The sequence below is a fragment of the Homo sapiens genome, chromosome 7, assembly GCF_000001405.40.
Source record: "Homo sapiens chromosome 7, GRCh38.p14 Primary Assembly".
NCBI lineage: Eukaryota > Metazoa > Chordata > Mammalia > Primates > Hominidae > Homo > Homo sapiens.
Window position 1 is genome coordinate 16,450,156 of NC_000007.14, and position 22,151 is coordinate 16,472,306.

The 22,151-nt window shown below is 36.2% G+C and overlaps 1 protein-coding gene and 1 long non-coding RNA gene across 7 annotated transcripts in view; one reads left to right on the forward strand and one right to left on the reverse strand.

Moving 5' to 3' along the window:
- Window positions 1-21,220, forward strand: part of LOC105375168 (uncharacterized) — a 50,690-nt gene extending 29,470 nt beyond the window's left edge. For 4 of the 6 annotated variants that reach the window (XR_007060221.1, XR_007060219.1, XR_007060222.1 and 1 more), the window contains 2 exons: window positions 1,507-1,676; window positions 11,005-11,235. This is a non-coding gene — a long non-coding RNA (uncharacterized LOC105375168). Of the gene's footprint in view, window positions 1-1,506; window positions 1,677-11,004; window positions 11,236-20,464 lie in introns of those variants that run through there. The other 2 variants (XR_007060220.1, XR_007060223.1) reach the window with 2 other exon arrangements.
- Window positions 11,326-15,583, reverse strand: SOSTDC1 (sclerostin domain containing 1). Its single transcript, NM_015464.3, has 2 exons — window positions 15,309-15,583; window positions 11,326-12,808 (listed from the first exon to the last, which is right to left on the reverse strand). The coding sequence occupies exons 1-2, from the start codon at window positions 15,511-15,513 to the stop codon at window positions 12,393-12,395; spliced, it is 621 nt and encodes a 206-aa protein (NP_056279.1). The 5' UTR covers window positions 15,514-15,583; the 3' UTR covers window positions 11,326-12,392.
- Window positions 21,221-22,151: the final 931 nt, after the last annotated feature.

Here is a 22,151-nt window from a genome sequence, read left to right on the forward strand (position 1 = left end):
CCCGCCTCGGCCTCCCAAAGTGCTGGGATTACAGGCGCGAGCCACCGCGCCCGGCCTCATTTAAACTTTGTGTGTGTGTTCTGATTCCTAAGATTCCAGCATTCTAGAGCCTTTATTTTGATCAAGTAATATTACCATAAATGGATTAAGCTTAACATATGGCCTCTGAAGTTAAGGGAGTGAAATAAGAGGAAAAGGGAACTATTCCAGTTACAAAGTTGTTATTTCTATGCAATCAGATGTAGGTGAAGAAGAAATTGCAAAGTTGGCAGTGCTTTTTCTCCTTTGCACATCTAAAGACTGCTCGGCAGTGTAACCACGAAGCAAAGCCTGGCACAGCTGTTCATTCTGTCTCATCATCTTTTATCTATGCAGTACTTTCCCCTTAGAGTGAGTATCTGAAATTCTGAAAGCCGCGTGCTTCATTTCCCATCATTCTACACCTATGCCAAGTTTCAAGATTGGCTTTGATGTGTATCTAAAGTGGCTTGGCACACTGCTGTCATCATTCCCTGCATCTGTCCCACTCTGTGAAACTGTGATGTGATCATCACTGTCCCACGGGAGGAGACCAGCTGCATGTGGAACCCTAGCGATGTCCTTCTACAACTCTGTGTGGTGCATGGGTCATGATGATGATTGCTGGAGGGTACAAAGTGAATGGGTTACAGTTACATGTTTTGAAATCATGTAGGAGTTAAGCAGCTACCCTACCTCTAAGCTATAAACCTTCCACCCTAACGTTTTAGTTCTGGCTTTTTACTCTCACCAAGGATTGCAATGGCAGCCAAACTTAAAATCTCCAAGATTCAAACGCTTTCTTTTTCTAGGATAAGGAAAAAGCCTAGCATAGTATTTATTTGTGTTCTAGATAATGCCTTTTGGTGAGTACTAACATAGTTGATGAGTCATTGTTCTCAGTTAATTTTTCATGGATTTATAAAGTATATTGTTTCTATTCAATTAATGTCTTGTTCCAAAGCTTGAGTGACCATTTTGAAATAAACCCTCAAATAGAAACTGTGCATTTAATCATTCACCAATCACTGCACATTCTAATGACATGGTTGTTATTAAAACCTCTAATAACATTAATAACAAAAACAAGCAGCTGCCAGGTGTGGTGGCTCACACCTGTAGTCTCAGCTACTGGAGAGGCTAAAGCAGGAAGATCACTTGAGCCTAGGAGTTTGAGGCCAGCTTGGACAACATAGCAAGACACCTATCTCTAAAACAAAAATAAAAACACCCTCCCCAAACAGCCAAACCCTATCCCGACTCTAGAATGTAAACAAGTGAAAAATCCTCAGAGTATACAGGGATCTATGCTTAACATTCTCCTGTTTTTCATAGGCTACATGATGATACTGTGAAAAAAAAAATCCTCGGTTTTTATGTCTTTTTTGGCTTTAATTTAGGTTTATTTGTTTCTTGAAGGACTTGATATCTGACCTCAGTGTAAGACATTCAAAGCTCTCAGAACTTCTCCCAAATTTTCTCTTTCAGATTTCATCTCAAGTATAAAGTAATGAAGTGAGAAGATTGATGTTGAAAGGGACCTTGGAGGGCATTTTAATATCTACCTTTTGAAATGAAAAACAAAATAAAACAAGAGATTCTATAATAATTCAATGCCAACTGAATGCAATACACTCTTTCAGATGTTGCAAAGAAAGGTAAGCCCAAGGCTGATCTGTAGGGTTACATTCACCAGCTCCCAGCCAAGGGGGAGCTCTGGCAGGAGGTCAATTGGGAGAAGGAAGGAAAGTGACAAAGTTATTACTCCCCTGGCCCCCTCGCTTTGCAGGTTCCTCTGACTGACCACAGCTCACTGCTTCTCTCCCTGTGTGCTCTCACCTTCCAGGCATCACCTCAACTCATCCCTCATTTTTGTTGGGCTTGGGGGTGGTGACAGCTTTGCTGTTGCTGGCCCTGGGCTTCTGTGCTCTGCCCTGTGCTTTCCCCATCCAGACTTTTATGATTAGTTTCCTTGTAAATAAGTCCTCCCTAACTTATTCTGAGCGTGCCTTCTGTTTCATTTTGGAATACTAACTAAAATAGAGATGTCAACTCAGATTTCAGGAAGCTTACATTTTAGCTTAATCTTCCAAGGCCATTCAGGAGAGCAGACTTGAGATTAGCATGCCACTCTCTTAACTTCTGAGAGATGATTTAAGAAGCCCCATACAGCCCATAGGACAGCTTCAACTATCCCAGCAAATCGGCAGGTATATACAGTTTGGCAGGTACAGGATATTTCTAAAATTTGCGACTAGCATTTAAAAATTGGTAAAATTTATAAAAAACATTTGGATTTATGAGGGTATTTGGCTGTGTCTGGGAGTAGATTTGGAGCTGTTAATACAGCTTTTCTACAGTCTCCACCATTTTGCCTTGCCTTACTCCCAACCTATTGCTCTGAGTAGGTATTGAGTTTGCAAACCTTGTCTTAATATATTTTCTCTTCTAGAGATGTTTGTATGTGAGAGGAATCAAAAATTTTAAATAATAAAAATAATATTTTAATGGTAGAAATTAGGTATCTGTAGTTATGGAAGAGCTGCAAAGGGGTGTTTTGTTTTGTTTTGTTAGCCAGGAAAAGAGAGCAGCAGGTCTTCGGATAGCCTTGAAATTATAGGGTTTGAAGGCTCCTAGTCTGGGCAGCAGTCCTCATGGACTGTGGCTTTTCAGAACTCATTCCAGGGCTATTCTATCATGTTGATTGTACATCCTTACAAGCCTTTTTTCCCTGTTATCAGCATTTCCCAGCTCTTCACTTCAGCTTAACATACAGCTACTTGGTATCATGGTCATCTTCCCATTGAACATGCCTTTCATTACTACTGATAATGAAAGAGAGAATAAAACACAACAGAAAAAGTCTTAACCTGGAATGTTCAGTAACCACACCTGTTTTGGTTTAATAATATTAACTGAATCATAAATGTCTTAACTCTAAAAGAACACAATGATCAAAAAAGAGCCTTGTTCCAGCTCCAACATCTGCTGGAGGCATTTTCTTGGATTTTTCCCCCATTATATGGATTGAGGAATGGGGAAATAATATATATTTACCCAAATGCAATTCAAGTCTTTAAAAAATTATTGCCCTCAAACATATGTTAATAGCTGAGAACCAGCTTAACTTATAAAATAACAGCATGGCTTACATGATAGCATTGGAATCATCCAATGTAATCCATAAAATTTTCCATATTATTGGAGATTGCTTTCCTGAGACCTTACCATATGCAGCCAGGCAGATCATTCTATCATCACAGGCCCCCCTGCAGAGCAAATTGATTACAATACCATTATTCGAAATGTGTATAATTATTTTAAAATATCTTTCTAAATAATGGATAGAAGCAATATTTAGTGGCCCAGATGGACCAGTCTCTACATATTTTGATTGTTTAATTTTTCTACAACTATTGCCTTTAAACTCATGCCATCATTAGCAATGAAATGGCTTCACGTAATACATGGAAACTAACATGAAACAGGAATTTTTATCTTTAATATGAATACTTAGAAGAAGACGGGCTGCAAAAAGCAACTTATGAGTACATGAATAGTTAATAATCAAAGGGAAAAATCTCTATAAAATTTCTAACAATTTGAAACAAGAAGATAGGTCCTTTTCAAGAAGTTATGCTAAGATTTTGTCTGCTTACAAATAAAGGTTCAGCTCTATTTGACAAGTTTTACAATCATAAAGAAAGGTGTCTACCTACTGAGTACAGTGTTCACTATCTGGATAATGGCTACCCTGGAAGCCCAGTCCCCAGCAATATGCAATATACACATACATGTAACAAACATGTACATGTACCCCATGAATCTAAAATTGAATTAAAGTAAATTAAATTAATTTTAAAAAGAAAGTTTTTTTCCACTATGCTTATTATTATTTGCTGTGGTTTATCTCAAATGTTTGTGGGGATATTAGCAATACCTTCTGACATATACTGTTCTTGTTTTAAGTCCAGATAGTACAATTTAGGTGATGGATCACAGCAATGACACATATAAATTTTGCTCAATAATGGGATTATATGTATTTGCCTTTACATTTTGCCACAGGACATTTGTTCTTTTCCTAATTGGATTGCCTTTTGCACACCAATGTGTTCTTAGAACCTAAAGGATACAGACTAGGTTTTCAACAATTACTAAATAAAGGAGTAGATTAATGAATTTCAAATACTATAAAATATATTGACTAGAAGTATCACTATCTCACCTATAATATGTAATATAATTTTTAAAATAAAAACTTTCAACAAAATATAACATCATTATTTTAAAATAAAACCCAATTCTCATTATATGTTCCAGCCACTTTATAGTATTTTCTCTAGAAGGGAAGAGGTAATAGAGTAGTAATAGAGTTTTTTAACAGAGAAAAATCCTAATCTGTTTTGTACAGAGTTTCCTCACCTTCTCCCAGATCCTTAACATTTTCCTGGTGTTGGATCAAGTTTGGACTAAGAGTAAGAAATGCCTGATAACAAGCTACAGTCTTAGCCCTCCTGAAGCTGGGTCTCCACTTTCATTCTATATTGCCTGCCTTATTGGTTATGATAGACCATGTCAACCTCCATAACAAGTTTGACCAAAATGTTATTGCAAAAGTTCACATTTGAGTGCGCTGGGGACAGAATCAAAAGTAGAGAGTAGCATGAATCAAATCTGCCTTTGTGTATGTCACTGTGACTGTAAATATGACCATATTGTTTAAGACAATAGAATGTGAATATTTCAGAGAGGGAAGATACTTTAGACATTATCTAGTTCAACTCTCTTAATTTACAGATGAAGTAAGTGAAGCTTTACGAAGCTGAATAAACAAGTGCAAATTCACCCAACAAATTAGTAGCCACAGAGTCTAATCCAGATCCCAGATCTGTTTCCAAGTTCACATGTCTTGAAAGTCACTTGTATAAAGTTACTACATTACAAAATTGCAGATGAGTCCAGTTGAAAACTTTGTTTATTATTTTTTAAATGTCAAACTCAGTCAAAGAATAAATGTAAACTGTTATTAGTATAAAAAGTAGACAAAGGCTGGGCACAGTGGCTCAGGCCTGTAATCCCAGCACTTTGGGAGGCCTAGGAGGGCGGATCACCTGAGGTCGGGAGTTCGAGACCAGCTTGACCAACATGGAGAAACTCCGTCTCTACTAAAAATACAAAATTAGCCAGGCATGGTGGCGCATGCCTATAATCCCAGCTACTCTGGAGGCTGAGGCAGGAGAATCACTTGAACCTGGGAGGTGGAGGTTGTGATCGTGCCATTGCACTCCAGCCTGAGCAACAAGAGTGAAACTCCATCTGAAAAAAAAAAAAGTAGACAAAATTAATCAACTTAGGAAAGAAAGTGTCAATGAACAGGCAAAGTTGCAATCCTTCACTAGATTATTAAATGCATTTTGCAGTTTTTTTGTCTTAGGTTTACAATAAATAAATTTGAGGCAAGAAAGTTTTGTAAAGCCCTTTGAGCTTAAGAAAGTAAACCAAAAAAAGCAAAGAAATTATTTTGTAATTTATAAACCACATTTGAAAAGTGAGGGAGGAAGTAAAGCAAACAATTATACAGGAAGTTGAGGTCAGTAAAAGTGGTAAACTATTTAACATAAAATATAGCTTTGATTAAAGATTGTAAAGGATTGTTTAAAAGTGCTGGTTAGTGGATGGCTGGGTTCAGTGTTTTGGCTGTCATTGAATGCCAAATTTGGGTTAACATCTCAATGAATAAAAGGAATTGAATGATCGTTTTGTGACAAATTTGCCAATGTTGTAAGGTTAAAAAAAATTTTAATTTATATGAATTTAATGACAAATATTTAAAAAGAAATTTATTTCTTCTGAAAATCATGATGCCTATGTTTTTATAGTAACTTATGTTTAAGCCATATCAAACTCTTTTTTTGTCCATTTGTTTTTTCTTTTGGGGGAGGGGGTTTGACATTTATTTTAGGTTTGGAAGTACATGTGAAGATTTGTTACATAGATAAACATATGTCATAGGGGTTTGTTGTACAGATTATTTCATCACCCAGGTATTAAGCCAAGTACCCAATAGTTATCTTTTCTGCTCCTCTCCCTTCTCCCACCCTCCCTGCCCAAGCAGACCGCAGTGTCCGTTGTTTCTTTCTTTGTGTTCATAAGTTCTTATCATTTAACTCCCACATATAGGTGAGAACATGCAGTATTTGGGTTTCTGTTCCTGCATTAGTTTGCTAAGGATAATATCCTACAGCTCCATCCATGTTCCTGCAAAAGACATGATTTTGTTCTTTTTTATGGCTGCATAGTATTCCATGGTGTATATGTACCACATTTTCTTTATCCAGTCTGTCATTGATGGGCATTTAGATTGATTCCATGTTTTTGCTATTGTGCATAGTGCTGCAGTGAATGTTTGCAAGCATGTGTCTTTATGGTAGAATGATTTATAGTCCTCTGGGTATATACCCAGTAATGGCATTGCTGGGTCTAATGGTAGTTCAGCTTTTAGCTCTTTGCAGAATCATCATAGTGCTTTCCACAATGATTGAACTAATTTACACTCCCACCAACAGTGTATAAGTGTTCCCTTTTCTCCACAACCTCAGAAATAACAATCTGTTATTTTTTAACTTTTTAAGAATAGCCATTCTGATTGGTGTGAGATGTTATCCCACTGTGGTTTTCATTTGCATTTCTCTAATGATCAGTGATATTGAGCTTTTTTTCATATGCTTGTTGGCTGCATGTACATCTTCCTATGAGAAATGTCTGTTCATTTATTTTAATGGGGCTGTTTGTTTTTCTCTTGTAAATTTGTTTAAGTTCCTTATAGATGCTGGATATTAGATCTTTGTCAGATGAGTAGTTTGCAAATATTTTTACCATTCTCTATTTTGTCTGGTTACTCTGTTGACATTTTCTTTTGCTGTGCAGATGCTGTTAAGTTTAATTAGATCTCACTTGTCAATTTTTGCTTTTTTGTGATTGCTTTTAGTGTGTTTGTCATGAAATCTTTGCCCGTTGCTATGTCCAGGATGGTATTGTCTAGGTTGTCTTCCAGGGTTTTTATAGTTTTGGGTTTTACATTTAAGTCTTTAATCCATCTCAAGTTGATTTTTGTGTATGGTGTAAGGAAGGGGCCCATTCTTCACTCTTCTGCATATGGCTAGCCAGTTATCCCACCACCATTTACTGAATAGGGAATCTTTTCCCCATTGCTTGTTTTTGTCAGCTTTATCAAAGATCAGATGGTCGTAGATGTGTGACCTTATTTCTGGGCTCTCTATTCTGTTCCATTGGTCTATGTGCCTGTTTTTGTACCAGTAACATACTGTTTTGTTACTGTAGCCTTGCAGTATAGTTTGAAGTCAGGTGACATGCATATCAAACTCTTGATCAGTTTTAATAACAATAAACTTTGGTTTAATATGTCTGTGCCACTGATAATGCCATTCAATTTAGACATCTGTCTCAGATTTAAGTACCTAATCCCATTCCTAAAAATGAAATCAGTAATACAACACTATCGGTCTCCGAAAGTGCTGGGATTACAGGCGTGAGCCACCATGCCCAGCCTGCAAACAGATATTTTTAAAGGTTTTATGTCCATGTTTGGCTTAGTTCTAGCATACTATATATTAGTCATTTGCAGTTACTTAAATTAGAGGAAAATATTTTAAGTTTTTTCATAGGAAATCTCCCAAACTGTTTTGCTAGTTAACAAAAAATAAATCCTTCAGCAAGTGAGCCAAATGCAGATGATAAACTCAGTTTAATTTGCTCTGGAAATAATTATGCATTCAGTTTGGTATTAATTCATTTAAATCAATTCTTGAACCTGGAAACCAAAACATTTTCCCTTTGAGACTTCAAGATTCCTGCAGTTGTTGTCACCCTATAGCTCTTCAAGACAATTTGCAAAATATGCAGGAAAATGCACGAAATGTGAAATTAGCTATTACATTAAGAATGATGCACCAGTGGAACTGAAAATGACATTGACAAACACAATGTCTTTTGGGATATCTATTTCAGTAGGTCTCTTTGCAGATGCAACAGAGTTTTCTGGTGACCAAATGTCTACCTAGTTCACAAATCTAGACTCATTTCCATTCAACATAGAGCTATATTTTAATAGGTTCCAATGAAACCAAGATGAGAGTCATCTCTATCGGCCTTTGAGGGAAGGAAACATTCTAACAAGAGAATGCTGCTTTCTCACACCGAGCATCCTAAGTCACCTCCCCACTGAACTCCTTCTCAGTTTCTTCAAGGATTCCATCAAAACCTTGCCATGCATTTCATTTTTTATCAGTATGATATGATCATATAAAGCATATAAATGCTGAATTTAGGGCATGGAGTTAATTGCCATTTTAAGATTAAAAAGTACTTTTTAGAGTTAAATATAATCTAAATCATGTTTTAATTCCAAATATAATGAATTATATTTTGATATCTAAAATTTCATGGTGATGGCAAATGGAGAAAGTTGCAACATACTAAATTTAAGCTTTCAAAAGCTTTAATTTTATTCAGAAATTTGGAGGTTTTCTGATTTGGCTGCTGCTAAATATTATTATCTCTACCCACAACTTCTTAGTATAACCGTTCCACTGAGCATCTATTAAAAGCATCATGCTCAGTAAACAGATCATGTTACATAGTAAAAACAAAATTCTAGCAATATAGTAGATATTCAGTAGTGATTTATAGGATGGATGATACTGCAAGATCTCCTGGTAAAACCTTACTCATTTGATAATAGAGCAGAGATGAATTAAGGCTCAATGTCTTTTATTTAACACACACATTCTAATTTTGGTTGCTTTTCAAAAAATATATAGTAAAATAAACATGGCCAACAGCATGTTGCCAGTTATTGGTTGGTTGTAACTAACACAAATTAATAAATATAAATGATCTGTAGTTAAAATATTAACTTTTTTGCAAATAGATTTTTTTTTTTGAGATGAGTCTCACTCTGTTGCCCAGGCTGGAATGCAGTGACGATCCTGGCTTACTGCAACTTCCGCCTCCCAGGTTCAAGCGACTCTTGTGCCTCAGCCTCCCAAGTAGCTGGGATTACAGGCATGTGCCACTATGCCTAGCTAACTTTTGTATTTTTAGTAGACATGGGGTTTCACCATGTTGGTCAGGCTGGTCTCAAAATCCTGGCCTCAAGTGATCCGCCCGCCTCAGTCTCTGAAAGTGCTGGGATTACAGGCGTGAGCCACCATGCCCAGCCTGCAAACAGATATTTTTAAAGGTTTTATGTCCATGTTTGGCTTAGGTCTAGCATACTATATATTAGTCATTTGTGTATATGCTGTTAATTTTTCTTTCATTCTTGTTATTGATATATATGTCAATGTATACTTATCTATAAATATCAATATATTTGTCTATTCATTTGTCTATGTATCTGTGAAACCATTTGAAGAAGTCCTTGATGTATAGTGGCCAAAGTAAATTTAATAAATTAGTAATTCATTAAATTTAATATGCTTATTAAGTTTAATTAAGAACACCTCTAAATTTCTATCATTTCATGGATAGATATTATGAATGTAAACTAGAGGTAAGAATGTGCTAAGATTATCATAATCTACCATTTTGAGATGATAGTTACTAAGGTGATAGTAAAATTATGCAGTTTATTAGATTGGAACGCATGAGTTAACTGGAAATAAACCACAAAATATAATTAGCAGTTGAGACACATATGATTTTTAGTATTTTAAAATAATAACTAGAAAGCTATTCTTTCTTTTGGCTTTTAATTTTTACTTCACTGAGACACTGATTTTATTCTAGGCCTTTCTTATCGACTGCTGACCTTTTCCTGTCATTTGATGTTAAAGATGATACAATGAATGCATCATCAATGTAACATGGCCTGAAACGGATCAGTAAATTGCATGTGATCGTTAGAAATAGATCTAATTTTTGACTTAGCAGAGACTACAGAAGTCTTATTTATAAGCTTCTTTTATTACATTTCTTTTTTCTTGTATATTTATGGTCCATTTGCTAATACACTATTAGGAATCAAATCACTGAAGATTTCAGCATTTTATTATCACCAAAACCTTTGTTTTAGTAAAGCACAACAACATAGTCTTCTTGATTGTGAAAAGCTGTTGTCAGATCAAGTCCTTTTTACGCCTCAGATCTTAGGGCACACTAATTCTTGAGGCCATCTCTAAGGTCTTCTGTAGAAGGTGCTGTCTTGTTGAGAAGGAAGAAATGGCCAAAGTGTCTGTATCTGAAATTTTCTGCGTTATCTTAAATATCCCACATTGAGGATGGACAGGTAAATTAGACATATGAAACAAGACATATTTAGTATATTCAACCTATATTTATTATGAATTTTTCATGTAGTAATATGATGATATAATATGAAGTAATTTAAGATCCTTATTAAGACTGAAAGAGAAATCAGTAGTAGGCTATGATTTGTTTCTTTATTTGGTGGTATAACAGTTAGCATTATTATAAAATCTAGAGTTTTTTTTAGATGCTTCTGCTTCTCACAGGGAAGCAACAATATTAATATTCTTGTTTAGCTTAGTATACTATATGTAATTTACATGTGATTTTCAGACTAGCAATTACAAAAAGAACAATCTACTACAAAATAATTACTAAGGAGTCTTTCGTGCTCAGCATCCCAAAAGGGAAAACCCAGAAAATATTACCAATACATCATGAGCCTCTTTGGTTTTCTTCATTTGGAGTGATGAAATCAATCATTTGATTGAATTGACACAACAGTCCTTCAACTGTATAATCTGCTTCAAGACACTATGTTGCTCAATATAACAACATGCCAAAATTGAAAACACTCAAAAATTAGCTTTTGTTTCCTTTGTTTTTCATGTTTTTGGTTTTCATGTTTTTGGTTTGTGGGCCATACAATAGTATTCAATGTTCTCCAAGATAAGATACTGATTTCTTCACAATTCTTTCCTTTCTCAAATTTAGCTGTACATTGAGATCATCTGGAAAACTTTAAAACCTGCTGATATTTGAGCTCTACCCCAAGAAATTCTGATGTAATGTGGATGAAAACCTGGGCATTGGGTCTCATAATATCTCCTCCGGGTGATTATAATGAGCAGCAGACTTGGCATCCACTGGTGTATGTAAATTTGATATTCTCATGACTACTCATTGCTGGATTGACACCCAACTTTTGCAACCTCCCATTTACTGAAGAGATGGACTCCCTGTCTCCCTCTGTCTCCTCTCTTAGAATGATACTTCTGTCAAAGCTTGAATGTGACTTAGAAAAAAAAATAGCAATTACCCTTATACATTTATTCTACAATTTTTGCACCCTTTATACATGTTAGAGGCAACAACAATAACTTTTAGCAGTGTTTATTTTTGTTAAAAGAAACCAATTGAATTGAAGGTCAAGACACCTTCTGATTGCACAGATTAAACAAGAAAGTATTACTTATTTCAACTTTACAAAGCATCTTATTGATTTAAAAAGATCCATACTATTGATAAAGTTCACCATGAACATATATGTAATAAGGAGACTAAAATATTCATTTTACATATCTACAACATGTATTTCATATTTCTAATCAACCACAAATCATATAGGAAAATATTTAGGTCCATGAAAAAGTTTCAAAACATTAAAAAATTAAAGTTTTGAAACAAATCACATGTGAAAGCTCATTAAATAATAACATTGACAAATAAATAGTTAATCAGCTTTACTTATTAGCTGCTGCCATGCATTTCTGGCATTCCATTCCAAGCGAGGGTCAGCATGCAGGGTATAATTTCATACTATGCGACCGTAAAGAGCTACAGGGCTTATTTTTGAAGTGAAATGTCACAGGGTCTTTCATTCTCTTTCAAAGGAAGATCACTCATGGCTGCTAAACTGTTCCCATGAAGAGTACCAAAAAAGCACCTTTCTGAAATGTTACTGTGAAGATTCATGACAACATATTTTTTTTAACCTGTTTTGAAGGAGTTTTGTTTAGGAGAGGGGATGGGCCAGTAGATGGAGGGTATCTGAGAAGCCCTTTTCTGTTTTAAAATATAATGATTCACTGATGTTTATAGTATCAACAGTCTTTTAAGAACAATGAGGAATTAAAACTACAGGATACGTGGAATTTAAATGCAAATTGCATTCATGGATATACCTACATCTTGAAAAACTTGAAAAGGAAAAACTATTCCCAAAGAAGGTCCTGATACTTAAGACAGCTTGCTGGGTTTGATCAAAGCAGAAAGCATATACTTTCAAGTGAGAAAACAGCAGTGGCAGGCTTGAGTCTTCCAAGCAATCAAATCTGTAAAGCAGATGGTTACTAGTAAGTCTAGTTATGGGAGTCTGAGTTCTAACTCATGCTGTGCTTGCTGGATTTGCTGGCTCTTTTCCGCTCTCTGTGATGCTGGACTGGCTTGGCAGGTGACATGCTCTCAAAGTTGTGACTGGACTCGTTGTGCTGCCGGGTGTACCTCTTGCACTTGCAGGCAGTGACTACTGTGATTTTGTAGGTGCGTGTGCTGCCATCTTGGCACTGCAGCTGGATTCTCTGGGTACGGGTTTTGTCATTGACACACCGCCACTCCTGGGAGCTCCTCCTGCTCCAGTACTTTGTTCCATAGCCTCCTCCAATCCAGTTAGGGAGCACTGGCAGGGGCAAGCACTCGCCAGCACACACCAGCTCCTTCAGAGGGCTGATGCTGGTGCACTGGCCATCAGAGATGTATTTGGTGGAACGCAGTTCCCGGCAACCCACTTGAACCCGAGCTGCAGGAAACAAAAAAGAATGTGCATCAGAGAAAAAATGCAAATGAAGACCTTTTAAAAAGTGATCTGCAATGACAAAAATAATAGGCAAATGATAGCAAATTGCCAAATAGAAAGTGAGCACCTACTTTATTTTCACAGTGAAAAAAATCTGTCTGGATAGTATAGGGACACTTTCATGAAAATCATCAGTTTACATGGCTATAACTTTTTTGGGAAAAAAAATGTAGGCCTGATTGTTTTTATATATAACATTAGCTAATTGCTTATTAGAGTGTTTGAAAATCCAATTTCCTTAGTCTGACTCTCCAATAAGGGGTTAGCAGCTCTTCCATTTATGTGTAAATATTCATTATTCAATGAGTTAAGAGTATACTTTAATATTCTCTTTCTCAAGGGTCATATTGGCTAATGTCTGCAAGTGTTTTTAATTAGGCTTTTTAAAAATCTGTTGAGAAAAAATGTGATAGCCATTTAAATATTGTGTATAATGCATATGCTCTCGGTAATATTTTATTTCAATTATAGACTTTAGCTGCAGAGACTCAGACATACATGTGTACAACATCTGACATTTTGCATATCAAACTTAATAACTATGTTTTAAACATAAATTCCCAAACTATCTTTTAAAAAATACAAACAGTAACATGTTTGAAATGTAAAATGCCACTACAACTCAAGACTCAAAGAATATAAAAGCCCCTAAATCAGGAACGTATGGTTGCCATAACAACTTGGCTACATTTCCATGAATTTTATGGCAGAAAAATGCCTAACATGTCTGATTTACAACTGCAAAAGGAACCACGGTGTTCATTTCCTGAATATTGGTCATGGCAAACTTTTTGTTTTAGTTATTTGGATTTGATAGGTATGTTCTCTAATTGGCTGTTTCTTGTTACATGCCTTATGTAATTAAAGCAAAAATTAATCTTTAAATATTTTAAGTTTTCCTTACCCTTGCTTTGTTATCTAAACTTGAGGAGAATTGCCTATAACAAGCTTGAAAAGAAATCAAGGCTTGCCAACCAGGAAAAAAAAAAAGGATGTTTAAAAGTACAGGCTGCTGACATTTTACAAATAAAAATGATAAGGGACACTGAAGTGGTTCCACAAAAAGTACTGAAAGATACGTCGAAGTAGAACTGAATCAGGAGTTTCACTTCATCTCTGTATGCTAGTACTTCTGAGGTAAGAGATATAGCTTAAGGGGAACGTGATAGTTGTGGAAAAACTTATGTATATAGACATGCATGCATAGAAATCTAGAATTGTGGGATTAAAATGTAAAGCGTAAATTGTTTGGTTGGACAGTGTGCTCAGCGTGCCTGATTCTGCCTCCAGCTCACCTTCCTGCAGCTGCCTCAGGAATGCACCTGGAAATAGCCAGAAATAATTTTGTCTCGTCAAGCTTTCTGTTCCTGTGTATATACAGATTTGGCATTTTTGCAGTGACAGTTCATTGACAACGAATACCCACCACATTGCTCAGTAATCTAATAATAATCAGATATGTCCTGTGTACTTAAAAGCAACCAGCTTCGTGAAAGTTAAAACATCCTAGCTTTCTTAGACATTAACAGTCAAATTTGCTTTGACTTTTCAAAAGTCAAAACTACTTTTCGTAGTTGAATGGAGTGAAGAAGGAGAGGCAAAAGATTTGTGTAAGATTTCCTGCGCAGTGTTTCTCTCTCTCTCTCTCTCTCTCTTAAAACCTGATTATTAGCATATGGCCTCTTCTAAAGGAAAAGATAGAAACAAAAGTTAGGGGTAATTTGAATCCCCCTAACCAGTGGTCAATTAGTGTGTCAACTAAGCTGTTGTTTTACATCTCTTAAGTTACAAAAATGTCCCCAGTCTGTCACAGAAATACACAATTATCTAAATTTTGAATGGGACAACAAGGAATTATTTTAGAAAAATGTGATTCTCCAACATTTTTAGTTTATCCCTCTTTTACATTGAGCATCATCAAAACTTTTGACTATCTCACTAGACATATTTTAGAAATCCAATGTAAACAAATTTTTTCTCCTGGAAGCTTCCTTTTTTCCCTTGTGATTCCCTATATTTATTTGTGGATGGTAACTAATAATATATATTAGTTACGTTTATACACTTTACCAAAATTGCATATGCCCTGAAATAAATTGACAAAACAACCGGAACTTGAGCTATCTAAAACAATACTTTTTAAAATGGTCATTTTGCATGATTTTGACAAAACAATAGTTTAATTCCTGGAAATGTTTTCTTTGTGGATGTTTGATAAAACTTCAGTCTGTGCTTGCACTATTAAACCACTGTTTTAGTTAGGTTAACTTTAAAATCACTACCTAGGGAAGAATGCCAACCTGCACATGCAGCAGATTACTCCCAAATTGTTTCACAACATATATACGGTTCAGGTTAGTTACCAATAAAACAATTCTACAGGAATGTGAGCTAATGCTACCAGAAAAGAAAAAAAAAAACTGTACAAGTAAAACACACTTACTGTTCCGATCCAGTCCAGTGTTACTGAAATGCCTGCCTCCATTTCTGGCTTGATTCAACGTGCTGTTGCTGCTGGGGTGTGCTGGAACAGGTTTAACCACATGTGAATAAAGGATTTCTGTGGCATCATTTTTAAAAGCCAAACAGCTTTTCATTAGGATGCATGCAAGGGGAAGGAGATAGAAATGAATGGCAGGAGGAAGCATGGTGAGTAGAGGATTTGCTTGACTGAAGAGCTGGTTAATTCTTTTGCTTCTGCTTCTGCACTGTAACTGTGAAATTCCTCCTCAAGCTTCCCTTTATATATCCATAGAGGTTTGGCGTTCATTCAGGTGTAAAGTTGTGTAGAGCTTCAGAGTGAAAACACAGAGAAGGGGTGGGATCCCTACATGACCCTGCAAAAGAATTTTACCAATGGAAAAGAAGACTGCAGAAAAGGAGGAGCTTGGTATACAAATTGCCTGAAATTTCAGAGTTGGACTTCATCACTTGTCTGTGAGCCGACGCAGGCAGGCGTATTCTATATCAACGACAGACTCTCCTCTGCCATTTCCTTTCCTGAATCTAGTTAACATTCGGGTTTAATTTAAACGAAAATACATCGCTGTTCATTTGAAGAGACTGGCTTTCCCACAGTTGTTCTGTACTTTCCTCAGATTTTAGAGTATTTGGGTCAGAAAGGGAGTTCTTCCCAGATAACAGGAGGAATTCATGTGAGTTTAAATATTGCAGGACTTGCATGAAGCACCTAGTTAGCTAAACATTGCTTTCTCTCAAGAAGCAAACCAATATTTTTTTTTCCTTAAAGTAAAAGGCACAGAGCTAAAACCTGCCCCCTGGACATGCTTAAATAATGCAGCTTTGATCTACAAGAACTACTGTGCTGCTAGGTAAATTATTGCCAGGGGTTTTGTGTGGAGAATAATGAGCATAGTTCTGTCTACATTAAAGTAAGTAATACTCATTTTTGTCTTAAAAATGTGTCACAAGCATTAATATCCATAGCATTGTTTTACATAAAGCCATTTGTGACAGACTTTTTAGCGGATTCAAAATAATTTTTTCTAGATTTTTTCAGAACACAGATTCTACTCGTATTTACTAAATATTTTGCTCATTACTTCCTTTGACTCTGCTGCCCAAGTAAGAAACCTATTTTTCTGAATTACTTTACCGGCACCCAGAACACGTGTTCCATTAATTAATTATAGGCCACTGATGATCCCTTTAAAACAATCATAAAATTCTATTTCATCATGGGACATCTCAATTGGAATAACTATTCTGAATCATCTTTTCAATTATAAATCCATTTTTGTCCTTTGTGTGGTTACCTAAATCACCTAATTTTGTATCTCTTTTCTGTATAAGCTTTTGTCCCTTGTAACTGCCATTTGCCTATATGTCTGCCTACCTGAATTTCTCCATAGCAGCGCTACTGGCATTTTGGAAGAGACAGTTCTTTATTATTGGGGGACCATCCTGTGTGTTTATCAGCATCCCTGGCTTCTAACGACTAGACGCCAGTAGCACCCCCCTAGTTGGTAACAAAAATAACTCCAAACATTGCCAAATGACCCCTACAGGGTAAAATCACCCCCAATTTAACCACTAATTATCTATTCATCTATCTCACTATAAAAGAAAGTAAAAATAAGTATAAAGGAAAAATATTATAATACCAAGAAATTATTGTTCTTTTTTAGGACAGAAATGGTACCGTAGTTTTGTTTTAAAACAATGACTGCTTCTCTATTAGAAGTATATACTGGAATATCCTTAGATGAAATGATTTTATATCATCTTTTACATTATATGGAATAAGCTAGAATAAGCTTCAAAAATAATATGAGGAGGTTAGAGGTGTGAGTGGCAAAAGATTAATTATAAGTTGATGGTTGTTACAGTAGGATGGTAAAGTATTATATTCTGTTTATTCTTGTGTATGTTCCAAATTCTACATAATAAAAAGTTTAAAAACCAGAGTCAGACAATCAGTTTAATGGACGTATACTTCCTACTAACAATATATCTCTATCCTACGATTGGATAGTCATTTATTCTAACATCCTTCCTGGAAAATCATATGTCAGTTTATTTTGTGCAAATGGAGATTACAGGCATCCTTCTAAAATACTAACTATGAAGAATTTCCTGCCCTACTTATCAGGGGACTTGATGTTAATTACACAAAGCATGTTAATATTAATCATTGACCTACAGACCCAATGCCTAAAGGAAATTAAAAGGTCAAAATAATCTAATCTGTTCCTCACTACTTTTTCTTTTTCTGTGTCAGAAGCAGGAGATATTTTAATTGGAATTTAATTATCGGGTTGGGCTAATGAGGTTGACCAAATTCACGCACAGTTATTAAATCTGCTGCACCTAGTATTCTGAAGGCTCAGCCTTAGGATATCACCTCAGGCAGAAGCAAAATTAGAAGAGAAGGCAATGTCGTTGTGCATGTGGACAGGACAAACTCAGAGTTCTTAGGCCCAATTTACCCGACAGACCCCTAGAGAACTATTTTGAGGCTGGGTGCAGTGGCTTCTGCCTGTAATCGTGCACTCTAAGAGGCCAAGACAGGAGGATCACTTGAGCGCAGGAATTCGAGATCAGCCTGGACAACATAGTAAGACCTTGTCTCTGCAAAAGTAAAATAAAAACTAGCTGAGCATGGTGATTCATGCCTGTAGTCCCAGCTACTCGGGAGGCTGAGGCAGGAAGAACGCTTGAGCCTGGGGTGTTGAGGCTGCAGTGAGCCATGATACCACCGCAACACTCTAGCCTGGGCAAGAGTGCGACCCTGTCTCAAAATAAATGAATAAATAAAAAGAAAGAAAACTACTTTGCTAAAATAGAAATAATCATAAATTTAATACTTAACAGTTATTCTGATCAGTTTAAAACAGCTCCATTAAAAATAACCACAAACTATTGCTTCTCGGCCTTTTGGCTCAGATCAAGTGAAGGATAACCACAAACTGTAATAACCCAAGAAGAATGGATATAGATGTTTAATATTGAAATTGATTCTTTCTCATCTTCAGGCATTAGTATGTACCTGTTATTCCCTTTGCTTATAACACTCTTCCCTCATCCTCTTCCTTGGCTAATCACCTACTTTTCCTTCCAGTCTCAGTTTAGATGGCAATAGCACTGAGAAAACTTGCCTTGTCCTCTCTTCCCTCTATCTGCTCGTCTCAATCCAGCATACATGTGCCAGAGCAGCAACTTGCCTGATGACTTGGCAAGACTTATGAAAGAAGAACCATTTCTATCTTATGGGTATTGTGGAATAAGTGGTTAAATTAAGTATTTAGGAAATGTAGAAAAAATATTCTTTCATTAAAAAGAGATTGGCTAATATTTGTGGTAGGCAGTCGCTAAGATGGCTCCTAATGATCCCCTTCTCATGATATTCACATCCTTGTAGCAATCCCCTTTTCTTCAGTGTGGGAAGAACTTAGTGATTAACTTCTAATTAGTATAACATACTAACATGATGAGATGTGACTTCTATGATTAGGTTTTCAAAAAACTATGACTTCTGTCTTTCTGGCTGCTCTCACTCTCTTGTTTGCTTTGGTGGAAGCCAGCTACCATAATGTGTACTTCTCCATAGGAAGGTCCATGTAACAAGGAACTGATGCTCATAACCAACAAGCAACTGAATGAGGGCCTCAGCCAAACAGATGAGAATTCCATCAACAATGACATGGGTGAGCTTAGAAGCAAATCCTCTCACAGGCAGATGAGGCTGCAGCCCTGTCCTACAACCTGAATGCAAACTTTAGGAGAGACATCAAACCAGAGGCACCCACAAGAACTATGAGATAATAAATGTTTGTTGTTTTAACTAAGTTTTGGGATAATTTGTTATATAACAGATAATCAGTACAATGTTATTTGTAATTAAGTCATTTTGTGAATAATGCTAGGGCCTTGAGAGCATCAGATGTGGAATCATTAGACATGGTGACTGTGCATCTTGCCATCTTTGGGAGAGTGTTAAGACTTATTTTCTGTTCTCAGCTGTGCATCATTGCAAGAAAAATAAAATACAAATAGGAAATTTTGTTAAAGACTTATTTTCTAGTCCTCAGCTGAGCCATCAATGTGGTGGCATTATTAATAATCATATAATGGTATTAGAATTACTACTAGCAGCTTGATTTGTAAAAGCTGGAAACTAATTTTGATTTTCTAAATAGTGTCATCATATGACTTGGAAACTGAATTTGAAAATCTGAATTTGGATCTGAAATTGCATCTTAGTTCTACCATTTACGATATGTATGAACTTGGATATACAGTTGACCCTTGAACAACACAGGTTTGAACTGTGAGGGTGCACTTATACTTGGATTTTCTTCCACATCTGCCACCCCTGAGACAGCAAGACCAACCCTTCCTCTTATTCCTCCTTCTCAGCCTACTCACTATGAAGACAATGGAGATGAAGACATGTCTTATGATGATCCATTTCCACTCAATGAAGAATAAATATATTTTCTCTTCCTTACAATTTTCTTAATAACATCTTCTTTTCTCTAGCTTACTTAAGAATAGAGTATATTATATATATATATATATATATATATATATATATATATATATATATATAAAACCTACAAAATATGTGTTAATCAACTGTTTATGTTATTGATAAGGCTTCCAGTTGACAGTAGGCTATTAGTAGTTAAGTTTTAGGGGAGTGAGAAGTTATATGTGAATTTTCAACTGTACAGGGGTCAGCTCCCTAACTTCTGTGTTGTTCAAGTCAGTTATACTTTCTGAAACTCTCCTAGTCAGTTTCTTCATCTACAAAACATGACCACGCTTACCTACCTCACAGAGGAACAAAAATATATGAAAATGTCTAACACAAAACCTGGCACAGAAGAAATGTGGAAAAAATAGCCATTTAATATGAATCTAGGAGCATGGTTTTATATTATAGCCTTCAAATAATAAACATGAGTTTGGAAAGACTAGAGAAGTCTGAACGAAAATATGATTACCCTATTTAAGGTAAAGAACAAAAAGTTAAGAGAAGGGAGATTTGTTTAGCCCAACAAAGTAAGAGATAATGGATAAATGTCATTAGGCTTAAAAAAATTAGTCTAATCAATTGTTTTTAATTTTTAACAGGGGATGCGTCTGAATACAACAGTACCATTTATCTCCAGGGCATACGTTCCAACATCTCCAGTGAAAGCCTGAAACCAGTTCCAAACCTGACTGGCATCATTTGGAACACGTTTCTGTTCGTCTCTCCCATACAGAAATTTAATGCCTTTTCCATCCTAATTAAGCGCTTATCATGTACTGCGGCTGTAACTTGTGCAGTTTGAAGGGCCACAGCAAAACTAGCAGGAATTTTTTTCTTCTTTCATGGATCGAACGTTCTTTCTTACCATAGATCTTAGCAAACTCGGCATATGATTTTTTTTCTTTCTCTATTAAGTTGAAAACTTTCACCTTTTCACTTAAAGGAAACACTTTACGGCTTCTCTTTGGAAAACCCGAATTGCCAGCATCACTACTCTTGTGCTTTGGGGCCGTTATGAAGTAAAATAAGAGTTCCTTGAGCACACAGCACTTTGATGCCCAACAGGTGATCTGATAACCTAGACGGTCACTAAGTGACTAATAGTAGGTGGTGTAGACAACGTGGAGATGCTGGACAGTGGGAAGATTCACTCCCTTGGTGAGATGGAGCAAAGATGGCATGAGATTTCATCGCGCTACTCAGAACTGTGTGGAATTTCAAACTTATCAATTGTTTATTTCTGGAATTTTCCCTTCAGTGAAACCAAGGAAAGCAATATCACAGATAAAGGGGATTTCCGAATATATAAACAAAAAGCATTTACTGAATACAAGAATAAACTATTTCTGCTCCTCTCTGGCTTAAAACTATTCTGAGAGTTCCCCTTAAGAGGATAGCACCTGTTAAATGGAAAAGTGATTAGCTATTATAAGTTTAGAAAAAACACAACAAACTACCATAGAATCTTTATTCATAAAAATCCTTAAAACGAGAATGAAATAATCACTTTCATTCATTTCATACTAGCGTGTATTGTGCCCAGTCTTTTTAAATACGGTGTCATCCAGGCAAAGCTGAATGAGACATGAAGCCTACCCTCTCTTCCTGTTCCAGAAAGCTCCTGGTTAGAATTTTACTAAAGGAACTCCCCTTAACGTACTCTTCCTGTAAAATTTTCTTTCTTTCTCCCTCATCACCTTCATTAGTTGTCTCTTTATTTGTATTTTGTTTGAATGCTTGCTGGTCTTAATTGTTGAATATAATGTTTCATTTATTATAAACTGCCTCACCATGAATAACATTAATTTAGAGAACCCAGCTTACAATACCCTGTGTAACCTGATAGAAAACCCAAGTGAAAAATCTCAAATCCAATAGACAGAGATCTAGATAGGGTTCCTCCAGTCTCCACACTATTGACCTCCGGGCTGGAAAGTTCTGTTGTGGGGGATGTTTAGCAGTGTCCCTGGGCTGTACCCTCTAGATGCCAACAGCACCTCCCCCACCCAGAAATTTCACAAGCAAGCACTAGGGAGTAGGTGAGGACAGCAGGGACAGGGCTTCCATCCGATTGCACAAACTAGCGCCAGTAGGAAGTTGTCCTTTTTACTTCCATTTATTACACTGCACAGTAGGAATCAATGCCCTCATTGTGTGCGTTCAGTCCAACAGTCCCTAAACTAAATCTGACAAAGGCTGGCAGCATATTAAACATTCTGCCCCCAGTGGTGAATGCAGATTGGAATTAGTTTTGTCCCACCAGCCTAATAATTGGTCTAAAACAAT